Source organism: Homo sapiens, chromosome 20 (genome assembly GCF_000001405.40).
Source record: "Homo sapiens chromosome 20, GRCh38.p14 Primary Assembly".
Taxonomy (NCBI): Eukaryota; Metazoa; Chordata; class Mammalia; order Primates; family Hominidae; genus Homo; species Homo sapiens.
The window spans coordinates 64,039,418-64,054,476 of record NC_000020.11 but is presented as its reverse complement, the minus strand read 5'-3'; the positions used below and the strand labels follow the sequence as shown (position 1 = coordinate 64,054,476).

The 15,059-nt window shown below is 63.0% G+C and overlaps 1 protein-coding gene across 1 annotated transcript, besides 16 other annotated features; it reads left to right on the top strand.

Annotated features, from left to right (window-relative positions):
* Nucleotides 848–1,537: an enhancer, noted in NCBI's record as "H3K27ac-H3K4me1 hESC enhancer chr20:62684293-62684982 (GRCh37/hg19 assembly coordinates)". NCBI's record gives its function as "activates a minimal SCP1, AML or CMV promoter by ChIP-STARR-seq in naive H9 embryonic stem cells {active_cell/tissue: H9 hESC(naive)}" and the evidence as "EXISTENCE:reporter gene assay evidence [ECO:0000049][PMID:30033119]".
* Nucleotides 3,853–4,961: a promoter, noted in NCBI's record as "1.0 kb promoter". NCBI's record gives the evidence for it as "EXISTENCE:reporter gene assay evidence [ECO:0000049][PMID:24269235]".
* Nucleotides 3,853–4,967: a biological region, named in NCBI's record as "SOX18 promoter region". NCBI's record gives its function as "regulatory_interactions: SOX18".
* Nucleotides 4,061–4,958: a promoter, noted in NCBI's record as "892pCAT6; PvuII/PstI fragment for optimal promoter". NCBI's record gives the evidence for it as "EXISTENCE:reporter gene assay evidence [ECO:0000049][PMID:20054233]".
* Nucleotides 4,286–4,967: an enhancer, noted in NCBI's record as "H3K4me1 hESC enhancer chr20:62680863-62681544 (GRCh37/hg19 assembly coordinates)". NCBI's record gives its function as "activates a minimal SCP1, AML or CMV promoter by ChIP-STARR-seq in naive H9 embryonic stem cells {active_cell/tissue: H9 hESC(naive)}" and the evidence as "EXISTENCE:reporter gene assay evidence [ECO:0000049][PMID:30033119]".
* Nucleotides 4,487–4,517: a protein binding site, noted in NCBI's record as "SOX18-FG2". NCBI's record gives the evidence for it as "EXISTENCE:protein binding evidence [ECO:0000024][PMID:26588701]".
* Nucleotides 4,562–4,587: a protein binding site, noted in NCBI's record as "SOX18-FG4". NCBI's record gives the evidence for it as "EXISTENCE:protein binding evidence [ECO:0000024][PMID:26588701]".
* Nucleotides 4,698–4,958: a promoter, noted in NCBI's record as "255pCAT6; PvuII/StuI fragment for core promoter". NCBI's record gives the evidence for it as "EXISTENCE:reporter gene assay evidence [ECO:0000049][PMID:20054233]".
* Nucleotides 4,761–4,796: a protein binding site, noted in NCBI's record as "EGR1 IV". NCBI's record gives its function as "positive regulation of transcription" and the evidence as "EXISTENCE:protein binding evidence [ECO:0000024][PMID:20054233]".
* Nucleotides 4,761–4,796: a protein binding site, noted in NCBI's record as "SOX18-A1F". NCBI's record gives the evidence for it as "EXISTENCE:protein binding evidence [ECO:0000024][PMID:18496767]".
* Nucleotides 4,761–4,796: a protein binding site, noted in NCBI's record as "SOX18-A1F". NCBI's record gives the evidence for it as "EXISTENCE:protein binding evidence [ECO:0000024][PMID:18496767]".
* Nucleotides 4,761–4,796: a protein binding site, noted in NCBI's record as "SOX18-A1F". NCBI's record gives the evidence for it as "EXISTENCE:protein binding evidence [ECO:0000024][PMID:18496767]".
* On the top strand, nt 4,838–6,895 carry SOX18 (SRY-box transcription factor 18). The gene is made up of 2 exons (NM_018419.3): nt 4,838–5,318; nt 5,515–6,895. The coding sequence occupies exons 1-2, from the start codon at nt 4,961–4,963 to the stop codon at nt 6,309–6,311; spliced, it is 1,155 nt and encodes a 384-aa protein (NP_060889.1). The 5' UTR covers nt 4,838–4,960; the 3' UTR covers nt 6,312–6,895.
* Nucleotides 5,099–5,148: a silencer, noted in NCBI's record as "silent region_13204". NCBI's record gives its function as "represses an Ori minimal core promoter by ATAC-STARR-seq in GM12878 lymphoblastoid cells {active_cell/tissue: GM12878}" and the evidence as "EXISTENCE:reporter gene assay evidence [ECO:0000049][PMID:35858748]".
* Nucleotides 8,039–8,959: an enhancer, noted in NCBI's record as "H3K4me1 hESC enhancer chr20:62676871-62677791 (GRCh37/hg19 assembly coordinates)". NCBI's record gives its function as "activates a minimal SCP1, AML or CMV promoter by ChIP-STARR-seq in naive H9 embryonic stem cells {active_cell/tissue: H9 hESC(naive)}" and the evidence as "EXISTENCE:reporter gene assay evidence [ECO:0000049][PMID:30033119]".
* Nucleotides 11,804–11,903: a silencer, noted in NCBI's record as "silent region_13203". NCBI's record gives its function as "represses an Ori minimal core promoter by ATAC-STARR-seq in GM12878 lymphoblastoid cells {active_cell/tissue: GM12878}" and the evidence as "EXISTENCE:reporter gene assay evidence [ECO:0000049][PMID:35858748]".
* Nucleotides 11,924–11,983: a silencer, noted in NCBI's record as "silent region_13202". NCBI's record gives its function as "represses an Ori minimal core promoter by ATAC-STARR-seq in GM12878 lymphoblastoid cells {active_cell/tissue: GM12878}" and the evidence as "EXISTENCE:reporter gene assay evidence [ECO:0000049][PMID:35858748]".

Sequence of the window (15,059 nt, the reverse complement as noted above, 5' to 3'; positions counted from 1 at the left end):
CAGGGGAGAAGGAGGCTGGGCCAGCCCAGGACAGGGTAGTCAGAGTGGACACTGCCCTCCAGGGACCCTGGGGACCGGAGTGTGCTAACACATGCCCCACGGTGCAGGGTACACTGAGAGCCCCATCTGGGCCTCTACAGAGCCACAAATGGACTGGGGCTCACATAAGCACAGGACCAGGTCACCCACAGACCCAAGCCCAAGTCACCACGGTCTGAATAAAGGCAGCCATACAAGCATGGAGGTGGAGACAAGGGTGGGGCCAGCGGAACTTGGGCAGGAGCTCCCAGCCAGTGGGGGCCGGGGCCGCAGCACAGAATGTCTGGCGCCTGCTCAGCCCAAGCTGGCCCCAGGCCCCCTCCTGCAAGGCCGGCCTTCCTTCCTGAGCTGCAGTTTCCTGGCCCCTCCCTGCTGTTGCCTCAGAAACCCGGAGCAGCCCAGCCCCCCAGCCTGCTTCCCATGGAACCCCCCCAACACACACACACACACAAACATCACTGGGAAGGCCGCACAGCAGGCAGCAACACCCAGGGACACAAGCGGCCCTGCAGCCGCCCCCAGGGCAGGACACCCCAAGGGCCACACAATGGCCCCCACGGAGCTCAAGCAGCTGCTCTGACACCCCGACTCTTGCCCAGTGCCCCTAAAAGTGGGCACAGCCCTTGATAACACCCTAGGTACATGCCCACCACAGCACAACACCCCAGAATTTGAGAACAGCTTCCACATCACCAGGGCCCTGGGAGCACCTACAGAAGCCCCGCTCGCCGCAGATGACCCGACCCCGACTGTCCACAGCACATCTGCTACCCGAAGCCCAGCATCACCCTGTGCATTCAGCACTCCCACCCCCACCAGCCCCCTGTGGCCCTCGACCCAGAGAAGCCCCTACCCCTCTCGGTCCTGCTGGCCCTTAGCACCGAGTAGAAGAGACCCTGACACCACACGACGACTGACACCTGACACCACACGACGACTGGCACATCACCCCTTAGACTACAAAAGCACCCCACTCACACCGCACACCCCAGCCTGCAGGCCCCAGCACAGCCCCCTGCACCCACACCTTCAGACCCTTCCCCACTCGCACCGCAACCCCAGCTCTGCATGCAACTCTCGGGTCCGCTGGACTGCGGCAAATCGTCAGGTGAACCCTAACCCCACACCTAACAGTTGAGAGGCGCCGCCCAGGTGAGCAGGAGCATGTGCACCTCTCATGCCTGCTCATGCCTAGGAAAGCACAGGCACCTCCTGCCGCCCCACCTGCCCTCTCCCAGAGTTGAGGCCGGCAGCTATCGGAAGCCCGGTGACGCTGTGCACACCAGGACTGAGAGCTGGAAGGCACGGAGCCAGGAGAAGCCTCTGTCCCTGGGCAAGGGCCACCTGAACCGGACCTGTCATTGGCCAAGAGGGACATGCACACAACTGTGTCCACCTGGTGCTGAGGCGTCAGGCGGCCTCGTCACAGACCCTCGCCCCAGCTTCACATTCTCCCTGCCCTGGCCTCTGCCATGTCTCACTAGGCCTGGAGCCGCCACCCCAGGACAAGGCCCACTAAATACAGAGCTCCTGAGGAGTCAGACATGCCTCCACGGGTCCCAAAGGAAGCCTACCGAGGCAGCAGACAGAAGGAGACCAAGATGCTATGGCCTCTGGAGGACAGTGGCTGGGAGGTCGGGGGCTCCCTGTAGGAAGAGGTGTTCAGCTGTGGGCAGAAGGTAGGATCTGAACTGGAGAGAGCCGAGGTTCGGGAGGCCAGAGAGCCCCCTCCACCTGAAACTGCATCCAACAGGAACCCCCACCTTCACCCTTGAGGAGCAGGAGGGTCCAGGCCCTGCGGGACTCGGTAATTGGTCCCAGCCTCGCTGCTCTTGCAGCCGCAGGGGCTGGGCTGGTGGGATCCTGGGAGGTCTGTGCCCAGGCAGTGGCTGGGAGGTCCTGCCATCCCGGCCCAGAGCCGCGCCAAGCCAAGCTCCCACCCAGAGCCACGGAGGGGGACTACCCAGCATCCTTTGCGGACCTCACTCAGAGGCCGGGGTTCCTGTCCAAGCTGAGGGAGAGGGGCAGGTGGCAGGCAGGAGGACAGTGTCCACTCAGTGCCCAGGCCAGCCCCACCCTTGTAGAGAAAGCTTGCCCCCAAACTCTGCCTTTCTGACTGGGGCTTGGGGGCTACAGATAGGCTCCTTCCCAAGGGTGGGCCATAGCCCACCTAGTCCAGGACAGACTGAGGTGGGGTTCCAGAGGCAGAGGAATGCCCCTAGACTCATGAACTGCCTGCCCTCTTTTGGAGAATGCTGGGGCCCAAGCTCAGTGGCCAGAGAAGCCTTGGGGACCCTCCAAACTTCACGGAGCAGGACCCCTGGTCCTGGACCTATTATGGGTCCTCATCTCTTCCTGGGAACGTCCAGCTTGCCTGGCTCTCAAGGCCCTGGGCAGCCTCCAGCACTAGAGTCCCCCTCACCCCACACCCAGGCAGACAGACAGACACAGGCCACACACAGATGCACAGACACACATCGGATGCCCCTCCCTCAGCACAGCTGGCCACACCCACACCATCCCCTCTACAGCCCTGGCAAGTCCCCCCAGCCCTGCGGCTCCAGATCACGCCACCCTGGCTGTGGTCCCTACCCCCACTTTGTCCCATCTGGACACTGGGCCAGGGCTGCCAGCCTCCTCCCTGCCACGCAGAGGGAGAGGAGCACCTCAGGAGGCTCCCCGCCCAGCCCCGACTCACAGGACATGACAGCCGGACACCTGAGTCCACAGCCCAGCCAAGAGGGTGGGTCACTGGCTGGCGCCAGGCAAGGCGGCTGCTGGTGGGTGTTGTGGGGGACGTGGAGGCGATGAGGTCATGCCGGACACTGCCTGCCACTATGTTTAGAGCAGCTCCAGTGACTCTGGGCTCTCGGGGGTGGCAGAGGACCAAGCAGGGCCCCCAGGGAACTGCAAATCCTTCCCCACGTGTGAGGGCTACTGCAGAGGACCCCGAGGACCTCTTTCCCAGGCCGCAGTGACCAGCCACTGCCCAGGCTGAGCCAGGCCCTGGTGACCCCTGACTGCAACCCTAAGGTTGTGAGTAGAGAGAGCTTCCGCCAAGTGGTAGCCCTTTGGGGTCTTCGCACGGCTCCCCACCCCCCCTGCACCCTCCTGCCAGCTGCCCAGGAGGCCCACCCACACTGAGACTCGGCCAAGGGTCCAGCCACCCATACTGAGATTAAAGGAGGACTAGCAGCATCCGGCAGAGGCCTGTGAGCCCCTCCATCCCTGTGGCCACAACCCTGCCTGCCTCCCCAGAAAAGCCAGGGGCCGCACCTCCTGGTGCCCCACGGGCCCCCCATTAGCCAGCACTGGCTCAGTGTCTGTGAACGAGGTGCTAGGCCCGTGGGGCAAACTGGAGGGACGGGAGATCTGGAGACCAGACTGGGAGACCCAGCCCCGTATGCTGGGACGATGGGCGTCGAGACAGACTGTGATGTGGGGCTTTGGGGAGGGCTGGACACCGACCGCGACAGCCCTCGGTGGGAGTGCCCCTGTGGGGGTGCTGGCCTCAGGGCAGGAGTGCCCCTGGGGACAGTTCAGGAACAGCCTCTAAGGGGCACTGCAAGGCCCACGTGGGGCCCACCCCATTCATAACACAGGCTGGATGTGGCCTAGCGAGGCTGGCAGGGACAGAGAACCAAGAGCTTCTGGCCACACAGGCTCAGGGTCACAAGACCTGTGGCCTCTACCCATGGGGCTCCCGGCATAGTGTGGCGGGGGGAGCTGGGGAGCCTCCAGGCTATGAGGAGATGTGCCGCGAGGTGGCGAGATTCTGACCCTGCCTGGAGGGCTGCTGGGGACACCCAACCCTTCTCCAGTAGAACCATGCGTGGCAGTGGGAGGGGAGGACCTCCAGAGGGAGACCCTCAGCTCTGGAGCCCAGATCCCCTCCTGATGGAGTAGGAAGGGGACAGTGAAAATTCAGGAAGCTGGACGCTCCTCCGGAACCCGCCCCCGCCCAGGTCAGAGGGTCCAGGGAGGGGCCAGTGGGAAGGACCCAGGTAGGCCCTGCCTCTTGCTGCAGCGGTGGCCTGGGCTGGGCAGGGGAGCCAGCAAGCCACTGAGGGTCCCAGCCCCTTCCCCAAGGGCCCTTGGGGGGCAGGGAGGACGCCACAGCCTCTGCGTCCCTGCTCCCCCTTCTCTTTGTGGGCTCCGTCCAGGGCCTCTGCTCTCTCCCTCCCTGTGTCAGCTTTGCCTTGTGCCAGAGTTGGTTTGGGAGTGAGGACAGAAGACCATCTTGTCCCATAAAGGCACTCAAAGTCCCTGGTGCTGACGGTTACACATGGGTGTAGAGTTTCCAGCATGGGCGCCCCTGGGGACTCAGAGCGCCTCCCCAAAGACGGGGCCTTTTCTGAAGGCGCTGCACTCCAGGAAGGACTTACCGGCTGTTGGGAAGGCAGCCTCCCCAGAACTTGGTGTGAAAAAGGGCCCTCTCCTCCCCATGGAGCCTCCCAGCGGGGGGCGGGGAACGGCAACCAGCGGGACACTGCCGCCCTCCCCCAGTTACTGCCCGGGGGTCCGACTCCGTGGGTGGGTGGCAGCTCGCCTCCGAAAGTCTGGCAGCACCGGCCCTCATCAGCAGCCCTTTCTTTCCCACCCGGGGGGTCTCTCCTTCTGAGAGGTCGCGGGGGAGGTGGGGGGGCTGTGCGCGGGGGAGGCCTCAGCGGAATCCCGCCCGGCCTGAGAAGAAAGGGAGCCCCCGGGGAGGAGGCGGCCCCGACCCGCCCCCGCCCGCCCGCCCCGCCGCCGATTGGCCCTGAGCCGCTATATCTGGGCGCCCGCCCGGCCCGAGGCCACCGCCGTCCCCACCGCCATCCGCCCTCCCGGCCTGGCCTGCCCTTGCGCCCGGCTCCCCAGTGCCCGCCGCCCGCCCGCCGCGCTCCCGCGCTCCGTTCCGCCCAGGCCGCGCCCAGCTGGAATGCAGAGATCGCCGCCCGGCTACGGCGCACAGGACGACCCGCCCGCCCGCCGCGACTGTGCATGGGCCCCGGGACACGGGGCCGCCGCTGACACGCGCGGCCTCGCCGCCGGCCCCGCCGCCCTCGCCGCGCCCGCCGCGCCCGCCTCGCCGCCCAGCCCGCAGCGCAGTCCCCCGCGCAGCCCCGAGCCGGGGCGCTATGGCCTCAGCCCGGCCGGCCGCGGGGAACGCCAGGCGGCAGACGAGTCGCGCATCCGGCGGCCCATGAACGCCTTCATGGTGTGGGCAAAGGACGAGCGCAAGCGGCTGGCTCAGCAGAACCCGGACCTGCACAACGCGGTGCTCAGCAAGATGCTGGGTGAGCGGCGGGAGGGCGGCAGAGAAGGGGGAGAGGGCGGGGGGGGCTCGGGCCGGGGTGGGGCGGGGGGGGCAGGGGTCCCGGGCCGCGGGGTGCGGGGGCTGCGCCAAACCCTCGCGGGGCGTCCCGGGCGCACGGAGGGCTCGGCGCCCACCCGCCCGACGGCGTTCCACTCACTGGCGCCCACGGCCCGCAGGCAAAGCGTGGAAGGAGCTGAACGCGGCGGAGAAGCGGCCCTTCGTGGAGGAAGCCGAACGGCTGCGCGTGCAGCACTTGCGCGACCACCCCAACTACAAGTACCGGCCGCGCCGCAAGAAGCAGGCGCGCAAGGCCCGGCGGCTGGAGCCCGGCCTCCTGCTCCCGGGATTAGCGCCCCCGCAGCCACCGCCCGAGCCTTTCCCCGCGGCGTCTGGCTCGGCTCGCGCCTTCCGCGAGCTGCCCCCGCTGGGCGCCGAGTTCGACGGCCTGGGGCTGCCCACGCCCGAGCGCTCGCCTCTGGACGGCCTGGAGCCCGGCGAGGCTGCCTTCTTCCCACCGCCCGCGGCGCCCGAGGACTGCGCGCTGCGGCCCTTCCGCGCGCCCTACGCGCCCACCGAGTTGTCGCGGGACCCCGGCGGTTGCTACGGGGCTCCCCTGGCGGAGGCGCTCAGGACCGCGCCCCCCGCGGCGCCGCTCGCTGGCCTGTACTACGGCACCCTGGGCACGCCCGGCCCGTACCCCGGCCCGCTGTCGCCGCCGCCCGAGGCCCCGCCGCTGGAGAGCGCCGAGCCGCTGGGGCCCGCCGCCGATCTGTGGGCCGACGTGGACCTCACCGAGTTCGACCAGTACCTCAACTGCAGCCGGACTCGGCCCGACGCCCCCGGGCTCCCGTACCACGTGGCACTGGCCAAACTGGGCCCGCGCGCCATGTCCTGCCCAGAGGAGAGCAGCCTGATCTCCGCGCTGTCGGACGCCAGCAGCGCGGTCTATTACAGCGCGTGCATCTCCGGCTAGGCCGCCGGCGCCGCCCGGGTCCCTGCAGCGCTTCCTCCCGCAGCCCCCGCGACCGATCCGACCGCGTCGCTGCCGCTCTGCTCTCTCATACGCGTGTATGTTTGGTTCCATGTCACAGCCCCCTAGGAGCCAGTGATGCTCGGCCTTGCGCCCGTTCCACCTCCCAGGCCACCCTTCCTGGGCTTCTGGGCCACCTGCCCTCGGGGGGCCCCTGCGAGGGTGCCTGGAGTTCCCACGTGTCCCGGGGCTTTTCCAGGAAGCCCGAGCCCAGGACCTGTTGGCAGAGTTGCCAGGGTTACATTTTTGAAGCACCTGCTCCTTTTCTTGCAGTGTATTTTCTACAACCAGATTGTATTAATATTTTTTACTTTGCCCTTTTAAAAAATATACCTAATACAATATATTTAATTTTTAATTAAACTCTTAAACTTTTCTTCCAAGAAGTTTCAGTGATCAGAAGCGTCACTGTGGCAAAGACTTTTGCAATGTGAGGAATACAGATGTTTGCTTTCTATAAAGGAGGAGCCTGGAGCTGGGTCCCCGGACGGAGAGGCCACAATAAATCCTCGGGCCTTTCCTCTGCACACTGACATCTGTGGTGTTTGCAGGGAGGGAAAAGCAGTTCCCCAAATAGCCCTGGACGCCCCTTCCCTCCGAATCGCCCCCAGGGAGCCTGACTCCTAGCTTGAACCTCATAGCACTCCTTCATCCTTCCGTGACACATCCCAGAGAGCGTGGGTAGCAGGCATGGGTCCACACTCCCCCCCAGCCCTCCACTCCCCTCCTGTCCCACCCCCAGGTTAACTCAAGCCTATCGGAGGTCAGACTATACCAGCAATCCTGTCACACCCCCGCTAGGGTTTCATCGCCCTTGCCTCCACCTTAAAACTTCCATGCCCAAGGACTGCCCAGTACGGCCCCCTTTCCTGAGGGAGGCTGGCAGGTTGGCAGCCCACATGCAGACACAGACTCCAGGGTCTCCGTCAGCTGTTCTAACTCACCCCAGGGAGGACAGCACCATGCTACACCCACAGCGCTCCCCCCACCCGGGTGACCTGTCCAGCTCTGCCCAGAGACAGGTCCGATGGCCAAGGCAGGAGAGCACAGGCTTCACATCCCAAGACCCCCCAACTCTGGAGTCGTATCTCACTAGCCCCCAGGAGGACTGGACACCCTCTTTCTTTTTCTTTCTCTCTCTTTTTTTTTTTTGAGACGGAGTCTCGCTGTGTCACCCAGGCTGGAGTGCAGTGGAGCAATCTCGGTTCACAGCAAGCTCCACCTGCTGGGTTCACACCATTCTGCTCAGCCTCCTGAGTAGCTAGGACTACAGGCGCCCACCACCACACGTGGCTAATTTGTATTTTTAGTAGAGACGGGGTTTCACCGTGTTAGCCAGGATGGTCTCGATCTCCTGACCTCGTGATCCGCCCGCCTCGGCCTCCCAAAGTGCTGGGATTACAGGTGTGAGCCCAGCGCCCGGCCTGGACACCGTCTTTCCATGCTGACCTCTTGGTCCTCTCGACCTCAAACCCACGTGTTCAGGGAAGTTTGGAGTAATCACCCCCAAAAGTGAACACCCAGACACAGACACACTCCCTAGGGCCTGGCAGGTATAAGCCAAGAGGAGGGGCATGCACCTCCCTCCTGGGGGAAGGGCATATCCTGCCCCAGCACCCCCTCTGCATAGGTGGGGAGTCGGTGGGGAGAGCTGAACCTTTACTGCCCTGGTGTGGAAACTCACTCGCGGCTCAGCCTCCCAGGTACGGGGGAGCACACGCCTCTGAGAGTGTGTCTGTGGTTCTGCATGCGTGTGAATGAGACTCCCAGTGTGGCCCTTCATGCAGGTGACAGTGTGTGTGTGGCATATGGATGTGCAGCAAGCCTGGGGCGGGATGGACATGTGCCTGCTACCTGAGTGTGTGTGTGGAGGGGGTGGGATGGGGCTATTTTACAGGTACCCTCCCCTCAAGCAGGGCATGTCACCTCTGTGTTAATCAGCATGAGTGCCACCCCTCAGATGGGCCCCCAGTAGGGGCTGCACCTGGGGCCCCTTCCCCACCCCATTGGCAGCAGAGCACACAGAACTCAAAGACAAAGGAACAGAGACACGCAGAGGGGACAGACACAGACACGCTGAAGAGGGCAGGAGACAGGCTCAGAGGTAGACAGAGATGCACCAGGCAGGCAGACACAGCCCACAGGACACCGAGGTCATCGCCCATGTCTTCCAAGCAGTCTGCCAGCACACAGCAGGGAGGCAGAGACGGTGAGACCCAAAGGGACACAAGCCACATCTGTCTTTCGGTGGAGGCGGGGGGAGGGGGGTCTCTGAGGCACCAACATGGACTCTTCCTGGGATCATACCATGAGATAAATGCTCACACCTGTGAGAATGCAAGCCACACCCAGCTCTCGTGCCCACCAACTCCTGCTCTGGCCCACCCCCTGGAGCCCTGGGGTCAGCAAGCCCAAGATGCACCCCCTTCCATGGGGACCTCAGCCAGAGGGCGACCCAGCAGCCAGAATCCGCAAGTGGCTGGCCCAGGCATGAGACCACCTGCCCCTCCCCCAACCCCCAACCAAGGCAGGAGAGACAACAGACCCAGCCTGTCCTGCTGCCTAAATTCATGTGGACAGCCCCTGCCCCCGGCCTCCAGTGCCTCCCTGTTTGGGCTGGGCATCTCCCCAGCCACGCCTTCCCCGGCAACTCCCACAGACACAGACAGCCTGGGGAGGCCACAGTGGCAGTCCCATGGCCAGCACACATCCCCTATTCTGGACTCCTCACCCCCACTGCAACCCCCTCTAGGCCAATGGGGTGGAGAGCTTGGAAGATACCTTGGGTGGCAACACAGCCTCATGGTCTGTGTGAGGAGGGGACAGAGTGGGTACCTGTGAGAAGTCCCTCCCCCAAGTGCCAGGGTGGGGGGCTAGTGAGGGGCCCGAGCTGAAGCAAGTCCCAGCCCAGAGGCTGGAAATGCCCAGGAGAAGGATCAGAAGGGGACATGAAAGAGGCTTCCACTGAGGGCACCGGGTTCCAATAGCGGCTCCTCGGCAGCGGTGGGTGGGGTCTCCTTACAGGGCCTCTCCCAGGGCCCAGCCCAGGGATCTATCTCCCCTCTACCCGCCAAAGGCTGAACAGCCCCAGGGCCTGGGTGCTCCATCCCTGGCACCAGCTGCACACCCCTCCCGCTCCTGGCCCTGTCTGCCTTCTTCCCTGAGGCTCCAAGGGAAGTCTCCACCCTCCTCCTGCTGAGTCAGGCCTTAGATCCTGGTGAGAAGTTCTAGCAGCCCTGCCTGGCACTGGCCACAGCTCCCCTCCCGTCCCCCATGCCCAGGACCCAGCTTGTCCCTAGAGTGAACTGAGCGAGGTGTTGAACTCTCCCCAGCAGGCAGCCCAGGGGCAGAGTCAGAGAAAATGGGGGCTGAGAGCGGCTATGGTGCACCCCTCTCCCAGCACCAGCACAGACACACATACACACCCAGCCACACACCAGACGAAGAGCACATTTCACCCCAGCAAGGTCCTGCTGGGGCAGGCAAGGAGGGCACATGTGAAGACCTTAGCCCCCCACCACTCCGCCCCCACCTCTCAGCAGGAAAAGCACCCCAGAAAACCCAACCGCTCCACTTACGTTCTACAAAACCTACATAAAATTTAAGGATACAATGGAGTGGTTTTGTTGTAGTCACAAGGCTGGAAACCATCTCCACTGTCTTATTTTAGAGCATTCTGTCTGTTGCAGTCAAATGCTCTACCTCGGAGCTATGCTCCTTGTTGGTTTGCTGTAGAGACTCCTATGATTCTCAGGCTGGTCTTGAACACCTGGCCTCCCAAAGTGCTGGAGTTATAGACATGAGCTACCACACCTGGCCTTTATTTATTTATTTATTTATTTATTTAGAGAGGGGTCTTGCTATGTTGCCTAGGCTGCCGGAGTGCAGGGGCTATTCACAGAAACGATCTCAGCGCCTGCAGCCTCGAAAAGTGACCCTCCCTGTCTCGCTGGAACTGCAGGCGTGCGCCCCCACACCCATCTTTAATTTTAGAGCTTTTCATTACCCTCAAGAGAAACCCATTACTCCCTATTCTTTCCTGCCCCCTGCCCCTGATAAACACTAAACTGCTTTTGGTCTCTGTGGATTTGCAGTGTCTGGCCTGGATATTTCTTGTAAGTGGGATAATATACTATATGTGGCCTTTCGTGTCTGGCTTGGTTCACCCTGCACACTTTCAAGGTTCGCCCATGCGGTGGCCTGTCAGCGTTCCATTCCTTTTGTGGCTGAGTAACATCCCCTCCTTGTATGAATATATCACATTTTATTTATTCAGCGACTGATGGACACTGATGGTTTTTACTTTTCGGCTATCATGAATAATGATAGTGTTATTGATAATGATAATGAATAATGAATAATGTTGCTATGAACATTTGTGTACAATGTTTTGTGTAGATGTGTTTTTATTAAAATTACAAAAATGCGTATCTCTAATAACAAAGTCTGAACAATATGTTAAGTACCTGGAACCCATGCTAGAACAGCTGCCCTGGAAAGGGGGGTCCAGAGCTGCAAACCTCCAATCCCAAACAGGCCCCCTCAAAACTAAGGCCCTACAGGGACTGGCTCAACCCTCCATCCAGCCCACCCACCACTTCTGTCCCAGGCCAGGTGGGGAGCCCCAGGAGCCAGCTCCAGGCGTGCAGAAGGCGCAGGGTCTCACCTACGTTCTTTTTTTTTTTTTTTTTTTTTTTTTTGAGACAGAGTCTCGCTCTGTCGCCCAAGCTGGAGTGCAGTGGTGCAATCCCGGCTCACTGCAACCTCCGCCTCCCGGGTTCAAGCGATTCTCCTGCCTCAGCCTCCCGAGGAGCTAGGACTACAGGCGCCCGCTACCACGTCTAGCTAATTTTTGTATTAAGTAGAGACGGGGTTTCACCATGTTGGCCAGGCTGGTCTCGAACTCCTGATCTCAAGTGATCCACCAGCCTCGGCCTCCCAAAGTGCTGGGATCACAGGCGTGAGCCACCGCGCCCGGCCAGGTTCATTCTTGCTGAGACTGCTCTGGCCCGCTCCCGCTCCCCGCAACTCCTGTTCCCCGGGACCCCACCCCATCCTCCCCGACCCTGCTCCCTCTCCCACAACCCCCGTCCCGTCCCCCACGACCCCGCCCCGTCCCCCACGACCCCCGTCCCGTCTCCCACGACCCCCGTCCCGTCCCCCACGACCCCGCCCCGTCCCCCACGACCCCCGTCCCGTCCCCCACGACCCCCGCCCCGTCCCCCACGACCCCCGCCCCGTCCCCCACGACCCCCGTCCCGTCCCCCACGACCCCCGCCCCGTCCCCCACGACCCCCGTCCCGTCCCCCACGACCCCGCCCCGTCCCCCACGACCCCCGTCCCGTCTCCCACGACCCCGCCCGCCAGCGCGAGAAAACAGGAAGTGGCGGCGCTGGAAGCGCAGGAAGCGGCGGCGGGCGCGACGCTTATCTCGGGCCGCAGCCCGGACCCCTGGCCTCAAGCCGGGCAGGACCTGCTCACCTGGTGGGGAGCCCCGGCCGCCTCTTCCCCTGACCGCAGCGGCCAAAATCGGGCCGGGCCAGGCGGGGAGGCTGCGAGGAAGCCCGTGTCGGGACCTCCCGACGGGAGCGAGGCCGGAAGGCGACCCGGGAACCCGCGTCCAGCCCCAGGGCTGCCCACCTCCCCAGCGCACGCGGCTCTGCCCTGCGCCCAGAGGCCTGACCTCCTCATTTCCCCCAAAACAAGGACTCACTTCCCCCAGCAGGTGCGACCTCCCGCTGGCTCTTCCGGATTTTAATGGGGAGGGGAAGAGCGGGGAGGGAGCGATGGTTGTTTCTGTGTTTACGGAGCTGCGTCTTTTCCTGGGGAGGGGGCAGGATGGGGGCTGTCGCTGGGCCCCCCCTAGGGTCCTGAAGGCACTGGCAGAGACAATGGGCCCCAGCACCTGACATCCCCCCACCAGTGAGTATGTGTTTCCTGGAGTTGGGGGGACTTGGTTCCGAGTCAGCCACAGCTGGAGCAGGGGGGCCTCCCTGCACACCTGCAGGGCTCAGAGCCCACGCAAGGCCGGGCACCTCCCAGGTCTGGGCGCAGCTGTTTCCTCTGAGGACCACTCACACTGCCCCCCAGCCATCTCCAGCCGCGGTGTGACGGTCTGTCCCGTCCGCTCACAGGGCCTGGGTATGGCAGGCACTCAGAAAACATCCATCTTCCCCACCACCTCCCTCTGGTCAGCTTCGGCAAAACTCCCAGGCTGGGGTGGGGGCCGGTGGCGGTGGTGGGGGAAGGTGCTTTGGGAGACCCTGAGAGGCTGCGCGCCCCACCGCTGAAGGGGTGGAGGTGGGCTGGGGAGAGAGAGGAGCTTGGGGGCAGGGGTGGGGAACACACAGGAGGCAAAGTCGGGATTAACTTTTGGTTTTGCAAATCCAGACACTAGTCAGCCAGTTGCCCGAGTTCCAGATGTTCTTTCAAAGACTCCCAGTCTGGGGAGGCCTCGGGACCCAGGTCCCCTTCAAAGCCTGCCCGGCCCCCTCCTCCCAGTGCGGCACATGGAGGGGCCTGGCTCCTGGGCTGTGGGAAGTTGCACAACCCCAGCCAGCGCCCTGCAGGCTCCATCTGTTACCCTGGCACAGCCCCCACCTCCCTGGAGCAGCCAAGCCCTGAAAAGGCATGAGGGTGGGACGGGACAGTACTGTGTGCAGCCCCAACCCAGAAACAGTATTTTACGAAGAACCAGGCTCAGGCCACCTGCCCTGGGCCTCTGCAGGGAAGGCACCACCAGTCGGTCTAGAGACATACAGGGCCAGTCCATGGGATCTGCCCTCAGTGGTTCCGTGGCCAATGGCTCTGTCCCTATCAGCCGTGGGCCCAGTGAGTCTCTTTCCATCTCTGGGTTGGTTCTGGTCAGTTCCAGCTAACAAACATTTGTTGAGCAGCTCGTGTGCTGGCCTGGGCCAGGTGCTGGTGTATCATGCTGAGGGAGACATGCCTCTATCCTCATGGAGCTACAGAAGAGCTACGGTCCCAGTGCTGAGCCCAAAGAGGACCTGAGCCTCTCAGGTCTGAGCAGGCACCTGCGGCTTCTCTCCTAGTCTCTGTGGCTCTCGGTAGCTCTGGGCCGCTTCGTGTAGCTCCACACATGCCCCTAGACCTAGTCTGGTTGGGCTGTCCCCACCCTGGACAAGTGAACTTTGTCCCAGAAGCCCAAAGCCCACCTTGCTCCCATTCTGCATGAGGGAGAGGAGCCATGGGCCAGGATGCAGGACTTCTCACCCACCCACGTGGTCGTGGTCCAGGACTAGGCACCGACATGTGTCCCCAAAATCCTGAGGCCTCTGTTCCTCCTCCTGCCCCCAAGAGGCTGTGGTTTGTTTGAACCTTTCTCAGTCAGGGTAGAGGGAGCTGTTTCTGTTGCCCACCCACATCCCCAGCCTCTGACTGCTCTCAACAGCAGAACGGGAGCATTGCGGGTGGGCAGGAGCCAAGGGGCCGCCCAGGAGGTCATGCATGGACAGGAGAGGAGTGCCCTCCCCATGGCCCAGGGGTTGGGGCAGGTCCAAGTGCAAAAGTCAGCTGCCCCTGGGGCAATGTGACAGTGGGAGCCTTCATGGAGGGCCTGTCCCCATCCTGTCCCTGAGCCCAGCCCAGAACCCTGGACTCTCTCCAGGCCCCAACTCAGCTGCCTCCCAGCCATGCTCGGCTGTCCATACCTTATGCTCCATACACCAGCACGCCCAGCTGAGCCCAGCCACGTCCACAGTTCCCCAGCTCCCTCAGGGCCCTCAAACCGACCCACTCCCCCTTTAGTGCTTCCCATGTTCAGGCTCCCCACAGACCCACCCAGGTACTCCAGCCAGGACCCTGGGCAGCCTGGACCTCTCTCCACCCCTTTGTCCTCACCAACCCTCCACACAAGTCACGGGAACCTTTCTAGATTCCAACTCTAACATCCCTCTTTCACCAAAGACCTTCCGCTGCCTCGGGATAAGTCCAAGCACCCCCCTCAAGTGCTTTGGCTCCAGCTGGGGCTCCTGCACCCTGCATCTCCCCCTCATCCCTCCCACACTTGCCCCCACTGGCCCCCACGGAGCAGGCAATGCAGAACTAGGGCTGGGAATGCTTGCTAGGTGTTTGTGCTCAGAGCATGGCCAGGGACTCTGTCAGAAGTGCTAACTCTGCAGGGGAATCCAAGGCTCTGAAGTCCAGGAAGCTTGGCCCCCAGCCTCCAGGCAGGGGACATGTGGCAGATCCCATGCCCTGGGCCTGGGTCTGAGGCCAGCTCTTACATTGCTGGCTGTGATTTGGGGCAAGTCTCAGCCTCCTCGTGCTTCAGTTTCCCCATCTATAAAACAGAGACAGTAGCTCCCGTTGCACAGACTAAATACATTAACACAGAGTGTGGGGCTGGGTCAGGGTCAGCTTGGGAGGTTACTTCTTTCTTCTGCTGCTGCCCCTGATCCCACAGAATGCCAGAGGCACAGCCTGCTCGCGGCCTTTCCGGGAAGGGGAGGGTAACAGGTGTCAGGTACTTTACCTCCCCTGCTCCTCCATGGGCCGAGATTGGGGGAGGGGGGTGACAGACTCCCAGACCTGCGCATCAGATGGGGGAACCAGGGGACAGTCCCCCAGCAAATGGAGGGTTCCAGGGGCCAGAAAGCGGGCCCCAGCCTGGCCAGTCCTGCAGAGGGGGCTGGGCAGTCTCTGAGCCCAGGCCGTGGTCACCCCTCCGGA